The 13,633-nt window shown below is 48.7% G+C and overlaps 1 long non-coding RNA gene across 1 annotated transcript in view; it reads right to left on the reverse strand.

Moving 5' to 3' along the window:
- Positions 1-13,633, reverse strand: part of ARHGAP19-SLIT1 (ARHGAP19-SLIT1 readthrough (NMD candidate)) — a 139,632-nt gene that overhangs the window by 51,033 nt on the left and 74,966 nt on the right. The gene's annotated exons all lie outside the window — the stretch shown is intronic.

Below are 13,633 nucleotides of genomic sequence, written 5' to 3' on the forward strand. Positions count from 1 at the left end.
GCCCAAGCCACAGGGTATCCAGGAACTCAGAATCAGTCTCTCTCTCTCTCTCTCTCTCTCCCGCCAGCTCTCTGTCTCTCTCCCATCATTGCATGCTCCATACTCTCAGGCCAGCTGCCCCACTAGGCTAGAAGTATGGCCACCAGCAACCCTAGTCTCACATCCCAATAGCCAAGGGACAAAAAGGACAGCAGTCTCACTTTCCCCAGCTCGAGTTTTATTGGCCAACCTTGGGCCACATACCCCTGCCTTGGGCTAATCATGTGAGTCTGAATTCTGGGTGCTACTTCCTGGTCTGTGGCTTGGACTATTCAAGCTCTCTAAGACTCAGTTTGCCCATCCTTAAACAAGGATAATAATAATCGTACCTACTTCATTGGGTTTTTGGGGGGATCATTCATTGATTTAATGAATACTTATTGCAGCCAATTCTGTGCCAGGCAGTGTGTTAGGTGTTGAAGCTACAGTAGAGGACAGAGACCCAATCGCTGCCCTCGTGGAGTTAATAGTCTAGCGAGAAAGACAGATGTTACATAAATAAACACATGAACGATTCTCTCTATTACAACTGTGAGAAGTGTTTTAAAAGTACAGAGTTCCACTGGAGAGAGGGAAAGGAGACCTAGCTCAGGTCAAATGAGTAACATTTAAAGAGCCCAACACTGGGCTTGGCACGACTTAGCTTTCAGTCTATGTAGCTATCATATAGTTTTTACTCGGCATCCTCCCAACCCTCTGGCCTCCCCACAGCCACTTCCCACAGGGAGAGGAGCTGAGTGACTTGGCTGCCCTGCAGCCAATTACAAGCTTCCTAGGGGACAGACAGCAAGTGTGGCACATGCGTTGGGACAGCAGCGGTACAGCAGGTCCCAGGGAAGCGCAATGCTGGTGGGCGGCACACACCCAGCTGATGACATCGCCACTTATTGGGAGCAGCCTTTCCTGGGCTCCAGCTGAAGACCCAACCAGGAGGCCTGCAGAGGCCCCAGTGGCTTCTCAGGTTCCAGGGTCTCCCAAGCTCCTTCGGCTGGCTCTGCATGGAACCCTAAAATGCACTGCCGAACAAGTGACTTGCCTTTCACCATTGCCAGGCTCTGCCATCATGAGCCTCAACTCCCTAGCCTCAGGGACAAGGGTCCTGCCCCTACCCCTGCCCCAAGGCACCGTGCTGTATAATCACTTCCTAGTGACCGTTTGCAAACCTCTTTGTGATCCAGGGATGTGTCTGTGGAACATACTCTGTCCCCAGCAGGGCCCTATACAGCTCCTACCCACCTCTCTTGTGCAGAGGCACTGTTTCTTCAGGGAAGAAGGGCCAAGAAGCTGCCACATCGGATCACTGCCACAAACACTGGCTCCGTTCCCGCCCCCATCACCACTGCCCTGGCCTGAGCTCAAGCCCCCATGGGACCCCAGTGCCAGCCCATCTGGCTACCCGGCCTCCAGGGTCTCCCTTCCAACATGAGACAGCCAGAGGGGCTGCCTGGAGCACATGCCACTCCTCCATTTGAGCACCTTCAATGGCTCCCTGGATCTGCACCATCCGGCCAGTCCCCTAATGTTGCCACAAGGCCCTTGTGATGTGGCCCTTGCCTAACATTTCCAACTGTATGTTCTCAGCCAGCCAACTATATGCACAGAGTTTGCCTGGAACATGATACATGTTTGTCAAACACGTGTCCCCTTCTGCATTAATTTACTATGTGCCAGGCTCTGTGTGTGGCTCTGGGATGCAGTGGTAAGCCACACGGACATAGTCTCTGCCCTCAGAGAGTTCACAGTCTAGTACAGGAGGCAGACTGCAATGAAACAAAAGCAATCACAAGAGCTTATCAGGGCAGGGTGTGGTGGCTCATTCCTATAATCCCAGCACTTTGGGATGCTGAGGCAATCGGATCGCTTGAGCCCAGAATTCAAGACCAGCCTGGGAAACATAATGAAACACCCTCTCTACTAAAAATACAAAAATTAGCCGGGCGTGGTGTCATGTGCCTGTAGTCCCAGCTACTTGGGAGGATGAGGTGGGAGGATCACTTGAGCCTGGGAGGCCAAGCTGCAGTAAGCTGTGTTCATGCCACTGCACTCCAGCCTCAACAGAGTGAGACCCTGTCTCAAAAAAATAATTAATTAAAAAAAGAGTTTATAGTTACAAATTATAGTGAGAGCTATGAAGGACCCATCCATGAAGGATGGAGAGTATTAGAGAAGTGTGACTTTGCCTGGGAGTCAGCAGCTCCCCTGAGATGACACCAACCTGACATCAGATGAATGAGTAGTCACCATCCAGGTGAGGGGTTTGGGGGTGGAGGGAGAGTGTCCCTGATGCTGAGGCCAGAGAGCACCCACAGGCTCTGGGATCTGGAAGCCTGGGGGCAGGTGGGCCCTAGGGATCCCAGGGCTGTGAGTGGAGATGCAGATGGGGCATGATCCCCCTGAACCGAGGAGGGATGGGAATGAAAACAGGGAAGCCTGGTGAGTGATGCTGGGGGTTTGGACTGATGTCATCACAGTAGAAATGCCAAGTCAAAGGGGACTTTTTAATTGAACTTTTTTATTATGGAATTTTAAAAAATAAATAAATGTAGACAGAACAGTACCATGAACTCCTGAACCCCTCATCCAGCAGCATCCACAACAGCTGACCCACAGCCAAGCTTTTCTCAGCTATACCCCACCCACGCTCCTTACCCCAAATGTATGATGCCGAAACAAATCCCAGATTTGTTTGCTGTGTAGTTCACCCATGGATATTTCAGTATGTATCTCTACAACAAAAGGACTGTTTTTAACATAACCGCATTATCACACCTAAAAAATAAATGATAACACAAGGGGAAATGTCTGAGGCTTGATATTTATTGCCAAACTACCCAGAAAAGCCCCCCGCCGACCCCAAGCAGGTGTGAGGGTCCCCATCTCACTACACACTTGCCAACACTGGGAGTTACAAGAGATGGATTTCTACAAGAGGCTCACCCCAAAACCGAGGAGCTAACCCTTAAATTCCAGGTTCACTTAATTAAAATGAGGCAGCCACAGAAACACTTTCTGTGGAAATCTCTCTCACACATCCAATGGCCACTTGTGAGCGGCCAGCGATTGGGGGTTGTAGAGACAGGAGGTGGTGAGCCCAGCAACCCCTGCCAGCTCCCCAGGGTGGGCCCAGTACCGGTTCATGGAGTACCCTGCCGGCTCCCCAGGGTGGGCCAAGTGTGGGTTCACAGAGCACCCTGCTGGCTCCCCAGGGCGGGCCAAGTGCGGGTTCATGGAGCAGGGCCCCTGCCCATCCTTCATCTCCCACATCTGCCCTCAGCCAATGGGGCAGACTGAGAAAGGGTTTCCTTAGGACCCAAGGGTTTCCAGAAACAACCCACCAGAGCCAGAGAGGGAAGGACCAGCAGGTGCTCCCTCCTATGGCAAGCACATGCCCCTTCAGAGCTCAAAGGGTTTCTGTTTGAGCTGAAACCTAGGGACTCACTGCCTTGCCTCTCCTCAGACCTGTGCCCCCCCTACAGTGACTCATGGGCGTCCCATTCAGTCAGGAACCTAGAATATTAAAAGATCTACAAGCCAGATAGGTGAGTTTTCAGGTTCAGAAAGCAGTTTCATCTTTCTAGTAAGATGGAGGCAGCCACAGTTCCAGAACTCTCTGCGCAGTTCCCTAACCTTTCTGAGCCGTGGTCTTTACCTAATCAGGTTTGACTTCCTGCTACAGTCTCCTACTCTCAGTCCAGAATAGAGGCGGCAACCAGGCATGGTGGTACGTGCCTGTGGTCCCAGCTACTCAGAAGGCTGAGGTGGGAGGATCGCCTGAGCCCTGGGAGTTCAAGGTTGTAGTGAGCTGTCATCGCACCACTGCACTCCAGCCCAGGTGAGAACCTATCTCTAAAAAAATTAAAAATAGAGACAGCTGTCCTTCCTGCAAGCCAGCCAGCCAGACACTGAGTCTTTGCTGTGTTCCAGGCACCCTGCTAAGCCAGGGAGATGCAAGGGTGAATAGGAACTGATCCCTTCCCTGCAGGAGCTCACCATCTCTAAGAAAAGCAGTCACATAAACACTGTGCAACGTGACCAGGGCTCCAGAAGAGATGCGTTCATGCTGCTGTGGGAATTCAGCTAGTGGAGCCAAGAGCTCTGCCTGGAGAGAGAAGGCTTCTAGGGGGCGGGATCTTAAAAGCTGGGGCTTGAATGACACTGGGGAAAGTCAAGGTGGGGGAAATCATCTCCTGGACAGGACATGAACTAACACTCTTTGGATTCAAGCAGCAGAACATCTTTTCATACACTTACTGGACATTTGTACGTCTTATTTGAAGTAATGTCTATTCATATCCTTGCCCATTTTTAAATTGGGTTATTTGTTTTTTTTTATTGTTGAGTTGTAAGAATTCTTGGCCAAGCTCAGTGGCTCATGCCTGTAATCCCAACACTTTGGGAGGCTAAGTCAGGAGGATGGCTTGAGCCCATGAGCCCAGGAACGTGAGACCAGCCTGGATAAGACAGCGAGATCCCATCTCTACAAAAAATTAGCTAGGTATGGTGGTACACATCTGTAGTGCCAGCTAATGGGGAGGCTGAGGTGGGAGGATTGCTTGAGCCCAGGAGGTTGAGGCTGCAGTGAGCTGTGATCACATCACTGCACAACAGCCTGGGAAACAGAGCAAGACCCTGTCTCAAAAAAAAAAAAATTCTTTATATATCCTAGACACTACTCCCTTGTCAGATATATAAGTTGCAAATATTTTCTTCCATTTTGTGAGTCTCAATATCCTTTCATACCTTTTGAATCTGGTGCCATATACATATACTAGCTATTCAGATATCATAGGTAATTCAACATTTTCTGGAGCCACAATAAGAAAGTAAAAAGACAGCTGGGCGCGGTGGCTCATGCCTGTAATCCCAGCACTTTGGGAGGCCAAGGCGGGTGGATTGCTTGAGGTCAAAAGTTTGAGACCAGCCTGGCCAACATGGTGAATCCCCATCTCTACTAAAAATACAAAATCAGCCTGGTGTGGTGGCGGGTGCCTGTAATCCCAGTCACTCAGGAGGCTGAGGCAGGAGAATCTCTTGAACCCGGGAGGTGGAGGTTGTTGCAGTGAGCCAAGATCGTGCCACTGCACTCCGGCCTGGGCGACAGAGCAAGACAGAAGCTATATTATGTAGAATTCCATGACAGTGAATGAGGTATTCCATGGACACAGATGGTTGCACTGGCAGAAGTATTTTGGGAAGAGATGGCAAATCCATATCTAGAATAAGAGTCTGTTCCAGTGAGGACAAAATTGATGTCCCCTCTATGGTGGAAGGGGTCCAATGTAGTTAGTCTGCCACCAGATGGCTGGCTGAGGTCCCCCCACCTCCAGGAATGATGAGCTTCTGAAATGTCTGGAGGGCATTTTCTTTCCTTCCTTTCAACATTCACTCAACAATTTGCTGGGGGCCTCCTCTGGTCCCAGCCCTATGCTCAGACTATAAATGACATAGCAGGGGTTGGGCCCTTGGTCACTGTCTCAGGCTTAGGGTTTAGAGACATGAGAAACAGAAATGGCTGCCATGGCCACCACTGCTAAAACAGAATGACCCAGTGAAAAGAGCACTGGGCAGGGAGTCTGGGGTACCTGACTTCTAGTCCAGGTTTGCCGCTAGCACCCATGTGACAGAAGTGGGGACACTGTGCTTCTCTAGGCTCAGATTCCTCATCCTTGAAACAGAATGGAAGCTCCAGGATGGCGAGGACCAATGGTGGACCAAGGCTAGGGGGTGATGAGGGGGTACGTTGTGGAATCAGTTCCCCTTGGGTGCAGAACACAAGTCATTTGTCAGCCGGGTGCAGTGGCTCACATGTGTAATCCCAGCACTTCGGGAGGCCAAGGCGGGCAGATCACCTGAAGTCAGGAGTTCGAGACCAGCCTGGCCAACATGGTGAAACTCCGTCTCTACTAAAAATACAAAAATTAGCCGGGCGTGGTGGTGTGTGCCTGTAGTCCCAGCTACTCGGGAGGCTGAGGCAGGAGAATCATTTGAACCCAGGAGACGGAGGTTGCAGCGAGCCAAGATCGTGCCACTGCACTCCAGCCTGGGCAACAGAGCCAAGCTCCGTCTCAAAAAAAAAAAAAAAAAAGAGTCATTTGTCTCTGAAGAAGTTTTTAAATAATTAACTAATAGTTGGTCTCCTTTTTGTTATCACAATACACCTGCTGTTCTAAACAATGCCAGTAAGAAAATACTCATCCAAAAAAAAAAAAATCCTTGTTTTGCCTGAGTTCTAAATAATTACTACAGTTACTATTAGGTTTTCATAATGTACGTGTAAGCTTTAAATTAGCAATTTTAAAATTATTTATCTTTTAATAAACATTGTATTCTACATGGACGTTAACTTGGAGTACTCCGTTCTACAGTTGTACCCAGACACACACAGACCCAACTACCTGTGATTTTTCTAGGGTAAGTATGTAGTGGCTTGGAATCTTTCAAGCTCACTTCTGGCAGAATGATTAAAATTTAAACAAATAAATCAAAGACAGAGAAATTTAAGTCCCCACCAACCCCGTCTCTTAACACTTGATGCATTGAACCAGGGAAGCTCACCTGCGCCATCTAGTGGTAGAAATGGTGATTACAGGCACGTGTGGCTGGACATTCTCATCCCTGCGGGCAGCTCTTGTCCCACAGGAGTAGGGGGCACAGGGCTATGGAGCGCTTGAAATGCGACTCATCCGAATTGAGATGGGCTGAAGGTGTAACATGCATACTGAATCTCTAAGACTTAGTATGAAAAATAATGTAAAGTAGCTCTTTAACAATGGATTATACTGATTACATATTGGTTTTCTATTGATTACACATTCAAATGATAATATTGGGGGTGAGGGAAGCCTCGGGAAGGTTTAATCAGACAAGTCAGCCCCAAGGCTATTGCATCCTAGGTCCACCTAGATCACAACGAGCAAGTTCCTTCACTTCTCAAGGCCTTAGTTCCCTCATCCTTAAAAATGGATGGGTGATACCGACATCACGAGACTATGATGATTAAATGCGATAAGGCATACAAATGCCTAAGACATTTACGCTCAGGAGAAATTGGTTTCCTTTCTGTCAGAGCTAATCAAAATGGCAGAAAAACTAGAGTAGGCAGCCTCCTGGGGGCACTCTCAGAGGGTCTGGATTTATTTCCCTTTTTCCCCTTTGGCACTATGCTGCAGGTGTGTGGCCCAGGCAATCAGCCCTCCTAATTGTGGAGGACCAGCTCCAGCTGCCGCCCTCCTGGGCCCCTGCCCGCCTCGGCGCCCACTGTGTGCACAGCACCAGGCGCCAGCTCGTGAGCTTGCTCTCATCCTGTGGGCCAAGGCCCAATCCCACCTTTCTGCCTGGGGGTCTTCCCAGCCACACCAGCCCCTCCACTTCCCGCAGTGGGCGGCCTCCCTGTATCCACACCCACCACAGGGCACAAACCGCACACCCACTGCCACCTCTGCATCAGTGGTTCTGTGTCATGCTGGACCAACAGTATCAGCATCAGCTGGGAACCAATGAGAAATGCAAGTTCCTGGGCCTCAGACCTGCATCAGAGACTCCAGGGGTAAGGCCCGGCCATGCTTCAGAAAGACTTCTAGGTGACTTGGCTGCCTGGTCAGTTTGAGAACCAGTGCCCTATCAGCCCTCACAGCCGCCGGGCGCGGTGGCTCACGCCTGTAATCCCAGCACTTTGGGAGGCTGAGGTGGGTGAATCACGAGGTCAGGAGATCGAGACCATCCTGGCCAACATGGTGAAACCCCGTCTCTATTAAAAATACAAAAAAATTAGCCGGGCGTGGCGGCGGATGCCTGTAGTCCCAGCTACTCGGGAGGCTGAGGCAGGAGAATGGCGTGAACCCGGGGGGCAGAGTTTGCAGTGAGTCGAGATCGCGCCACTGCACTCCAGCCTGGGCAACAGAGCAAGACTCCGTCTCAAAAAGAAAAACACAAAACAAAACAAAAACACAGCTTCCTTTGCTCTCCCCTCTGCTCCCCTCCCACCCCCTCCGTCAGTGGAGCCCCTATTCGGTTGTGGAGGAACTCCTGTGCCTAAAACTACCCTGTCATCTTCCCCTTCACCATTTCGCCCATGGTAATCTTCACCAAACTTTAGCAAACTTTCAGTAATTTTATCACATATGCAGGCCACTTTTCTATTTCTTCCTCAACATTTTAAATTTGATACAAATTCAAATACACACTTTAGGTGGGCACAGTGGCTCATGCCTGTAATCCCAGCATTTTGGGAGAGCAAGGCAAGAGGATTACTTGAAGCCAGGAATATGAGACCAGCCTGGGCAACATACCAAGACCCCATTTCTAAAAAAAAATTTTAAAATTAGCTGTGCACTGTGGTGTGTGCCTGTAATCGCGGCTACTCAGAAGGCTGAGGCAGGAGGATTGCTTGAGCCCAGGAGTTAGGGGCTGCAGTGAGCTATGATGGCACCACTGCACTCTAGCCTGGATGGATGACAGAGACTTTGTCTCTAAAAAACAAAACAAAACAACCCCAAATATACACTTTAGCCTGGTCCTAAAGAATCTAGAAATTCAGACTTAACATATAAGTTATATTTTTCTATCACATATTAAACACTATTAAAGACTGTTCATCACCAGGCATGGTGGCTCACACCTGTAATCCCAGCACTTTGGGAGGCCGAGGCGAGTGGATCACCTGAAGTCAAGAGCTTGAGACCAGCCTGGCCAACATGATGAAACCCCGTCTCTACTAAAAATATAAAAATTAGCAGCTGGGCGCGGTGCCTCACACCTGTAATCCCAGCACTTTGGGAGGCTGAGGTGGGCGGATCACCTGAGGTCAGGAGTTTGAGAACAGCCTGACCAACATGGAGAAACCTGTCTCTACTAAAAATACAAAATTAGCCTGGCGTAGTGGCACATGCCTGTAATCCCAGCTACTCGGGAGCTGAGGCAGGAGAATCGCTTGAACCCAGGAGGCAGAAGTTGCGGTGAGCCAAGATCGTGCCATTGCACTCCAGCCTGGGCAACAAGTTGTGCCTATAATCTCAGCTACTTGGGAGGCTGAGGCATGAGAATCACTTGAACCCAGGAGGCAGAGGTTGCAGTGAGCCAAGATCGTGCCACTGCACTCCAGCCTGGGGGATAGAGCAAGACTCTGTCTTTAAAAAAAAAAAAAAAAAAAAACAAAACACCTGTTTATCCAAAGTACTGTCTAGAAGTCATTTTGGGGAAACGATGCCTGCAGTGTAGCCTGACTCTCTCACAACACACTCTATCCTACCCTTTCCTGTCTACCCCTCAGGGCTTCCATTTCCCTCCTCCTCTCATCTGCAGCCCCGACTCTTGACAGCCCTACCTTCCTGGACCATCCAGCACCTCCCTTCCATCAACCCCCCACCCAAGACTCTGACATCCCTGACGACTCCCTGTGAAACATCACCAGCTAAATAAATACACACGGAATGAATGAACTCTGGGCCCTCAAAACATCCACCTCTGCCCCACAGCGCCCCAAGCCCCCGTCCTTATGTAACTCGTCTCTAAGTAACAGCTCCAGGAAGTGTCCCTGGACCTCCCGTACACATCTTTCCGGGCCTCCGCCCACCCACCCTTCCACCTTACTTTCCCACCCTCACCAAAGGCCTCGTATGTGCCAGGCATTGCACTAGGTAGTGTGGAAACAGAATATAAAGAACAGCTCTGGCCTTCAAGGAACTCAGATTCCCATAAGCCAGAACCAGTCTTCTTATTCCTGCTATTGCTCCCAGAAACATGTCACAAGCATCCTCCTTTGTCCACATCAGAACACCTGGAAACACAGGGTCAGCCAGAGTGGGAGGCATGGTCAGCACACCAACTGTGAGTTAGCAGGGGTTTAATAACAAAAGCCATCTCCAGTGACAGAAATGAAATCACTGGCAGCCTGGGGCAGGGGCATGGGGAACTGACTGCAAAGTGGCATGAGAGAACTTTCTGGACTGACGGAAATGTACATCTTAATTGGGGTGGTGGTTACAGAGACGTATATGTTTGTCAAAACTTATCGAACTGGCCGGGCGCAATGGTTCATACCTGTAATCCCAGCACTTTGGGAGGCCACGGCGGGCAGATCACTAGAGGTCAGGAGTTCGAGACCAGCCTTGCCAATATGGTGAAATCCCCATCTCTACTAAAAATGCAAAAATTAGCTGGGCATGGTGGCGCTTGCCTGTAATCCCACCTACTTGGGAGGCTGAGGTACGAGAATCACTTGAAACCAGGAGGCGAGGAGGCTGCAGTGAGCCGAGATTGCGCCACTACACTCCAGCTTGGGCGGCAGAGTGAGACTCAGTCTCAAAAAAAAAAATGTATCAAACTATATGCTTAATAGAGTTAATTTAAAAAGAGATAGACTCAAGTCCCCCACACTGCCCCTCACTAATGCATCAACTGGGCCTAAGTCGCCATCTTTCTGAAACTGTTTCTCTAACACATGGTTTGTGGGCTAGTTCAATGATTTTCAAGCCACTTATTTAAACAAAATCTTACTCTAAACCAGGTAAAAGGGAGCTCCCTGGCTGAAGAGGATGCGGAGAATCAGGTGCTGTCCTTCTGACCCCCTTCCCCTCCTCACAGTAACCCTGGCGGCACTGCATAAACCTATCTGAAACCATTGGGATCCATTGTCTCTAAGGTCCCAAATAGCAATGACCGTCTTTGATTCTATGTCTCTGCTAAAGATTTGCTTCAGACTAAATATATCCCCTTTTCCTCCACACCAGATGGTTCTATATTCCTCCCCATGTGGAAAGAGTAGGTTTTCATGCTCCCATGGAAGAGGGAAGCAGAGACAAGAAAGAAGGCCATGTCTCTCCTCTCCATTCTCCTCTTCCTAGGTCATGTCACAAAGCACATACGGCGGGTGTTTAAGAAGGGGCTACAATATAAGACCTCTCATTAATGGCCAATTTTGGTTACATCAAAGTACTTATTAAAGCCTGGATCACTGGGTCATTAGATGTCCATTAAATCCCCATGGCTCTTCATCAGAGAGGCAGAAGGCCCTGGCCCAAGGCCTCTAACCTGAGCAGAAAGACTTAGTGGGTCTGTATGCCCAGGGCAGTAGCTCACGGGGGTGGGGTGACATTTTTAGTGTTTGTCCTGTCCTCTGACCAGCTCTCCCTGCTTCTCCTCCCCAGAGTGGACTAAGGACTAACTAAAGGAAAAAAGATGTGGCCAAGGTTCTGGTGGAGTAGGTTGTTGGGGAGAAAGGACAGCATAGGATTAGAGGCCCAGAGGTTCTGGGACAATCACTATATAACATGGGCCACATGTGTAATTTTATATTTTCTAGTTAGCCACATTAAAAAGGTTAAAAGAAACAGGTAGAATTCATTTTAATGATACATTTTATTAACCCAACATATTCAAAATCTCATTTCAACATGTCATCAGTGTAAAAAATTATCGAGATATTTTTATATTCCTTTTTTCTTCCTACATCTTTGAATTCTGTTATTTCGCACAGCACATCTCAGTTCAGATGGGCCACGTTTCCAGTGCTTAATATGCACCTGTGGCCAGAGACGAACGCATTAGGCAGGGCATGCAGAAGAGCAGAGAAATGAGGACAGACCCTCCCTAAGCAGTTCCTGCAGGGCGTGGGGAGTGTTGGCGGAGGTAAGTGAGTGGATGCCCTCCTGCGTCCGAATGCCATTTATCCTCTTCCCGGAAGGCGCGCTTCTTGCTGTCCTCTGGGAGCCACCACTGAGAGGCTCTGGGAGTGTCCTGTGCAGATCAGCAAGCAGTCAGGAGCCGAGCAGCCCAGCGCCATGCAGAGGATGCCAGCTGGGCTCCTGGGCCAAATGCAGGCTGCAGAGGGGTCGGGTTTGGCTTCCATGGCGTTCTTAAATATCTTGAAGCACTTGTGGTTCTCATTACCTTACATGACCTTCCTGGCTCCTATAGATATTGGGTTTTGTAACCCCTGCCTAACACCATAGTCCTGGGAGTCCAGCAGCCCTGGATGTTAGGTTGGCCACTTTGTCAGCTACGTTTCTTTGTAACTGACAACATAAGTTATCAAACTATTCATATGTGTCTTCTATACAATTGGAGATAACAGTACCTGATATGGTTTGGCTTTGTGTCCCACCCAAATCTTATGTCGAATTGTAATCCCCACAGGTCAGGGGCAGGACACGGTGGGAGGTGATTGGATCTTGGGAGTGGTTTCCCCCATGCTGTTCTCCTGATAGTGAGAGAGTTCTCACAAGATCTGATCTTTTTTTTTTTTTTTTTTTTTGAGATAGAGTCTCACCCTGTTGCCCAGGCTGGGGTGCAGCGGCGTGATCTTAGCTCACTGCAACCTCCACCTCCCAAGCTCAAGTGATTCTCGTGCCTCAGCCTCCAGAGTAGCTGGGATTACAGGCATGTGCCACCACGCCTGAATAATTTTTGTATTTTTAGTAGAGACAGAGTTTCACCATGTTGGCCCAGCTGGTCTCAAACTCTGGCCACACATGATCCGCCCACCTTAGCCTCCCAGAGTGCTGGGATTATAGGCATAAGCCACTGCACCCAGCCAAGATCTGATGGTTTAAAAGTGTGTGGCAGTCCCCTGGCCCCCTTCTGCTGCCATGTAAGACATGCCTTGCTTCCCCTTCGCCTTCCACCATAATTGTGTTTCCTGAGGCCTTCCCAGCCATGCAGAACTGAGATTCAATTAAACCTCCTTTCCTTATAAATTACCCAGTCTCAGGTGGTTCTTGATAGCAGTGTGAAAACAGACAAATACAATACCTCACAGAGATGTATGAGTTTAATGAAACAATGAATTAATTGGCTAGCACAGAGCTCAGTAGATAGTAAGTACTCAATAAATTAGTTTTTCATTCACAAGAAATTTGAACTCCTTAGAGGCCCTGCTGGAAAAAGGGAAGTACGTGGGCAGAAGGGGCTCCCATCAGCGATCCCCACTTCTGAACATGAGTGCTGAGGAATGGCTTCTGGGCTCACAATTTTCATTAATTTTTTAGTGTCAAGAAATGTCTTTTCATTCAGGCTGGACACACAATAGACTCTAGGATGTTAACAACTTCAAATGGGGTGAAAAGCTATACTGGTTTTTGAGAACTTTCTTAGGTTATTTGCCACATGTACACATGTACACACTCCACAGGGATTTACAATTTATAAAGCTCTTTTTAATACATGATCTTGTCTGGATTTCAGAGTACATTATATGGAGAAGTAGAGTGGTTGTCAATATCTGTATTTTACAGATACGTTGAAACTTAGCAAGATTATGTAATAGGTCGGTGCAAAAGTAATTGTGGCTTTTGCCATTAAAATGCCACATACTTTTGCACCAACCTAATACTTACAGTTCTCATACATTCACATGTAGACAGAGTAACTGAATCCAGACTCCACGGCTGTGGTTCCTGGTGTGGTTTCCTTCCTCTGGCACCAACCATCAAACCCATTTTCACCATCCACTGTGAATGTCATGTGGGTCTGAACTATTATGTTCAGCCCTTCAAGTGAACCAGTGGAACTTAGTTGAATGAGACCACAGCCTCTTATTTCTAGAAGCTTCTACTGTGAGACTAAGAAATGTGATTATGTAGAGAATGACTAGTAAATA

The sequence above is a fragment of the Homo sapiens genome, chromosome 10 (genome assembly GCF_000001405.40).
Source record: "Homo sapiens chromosome 10, GRCh38.p14 Primary Assembly".
NCBI classification, from domain to species: Eukaryota; Metazoa; Chordata; class Mammalia; order Primates; family Hominidae; genus Homo; species Homo sapiens.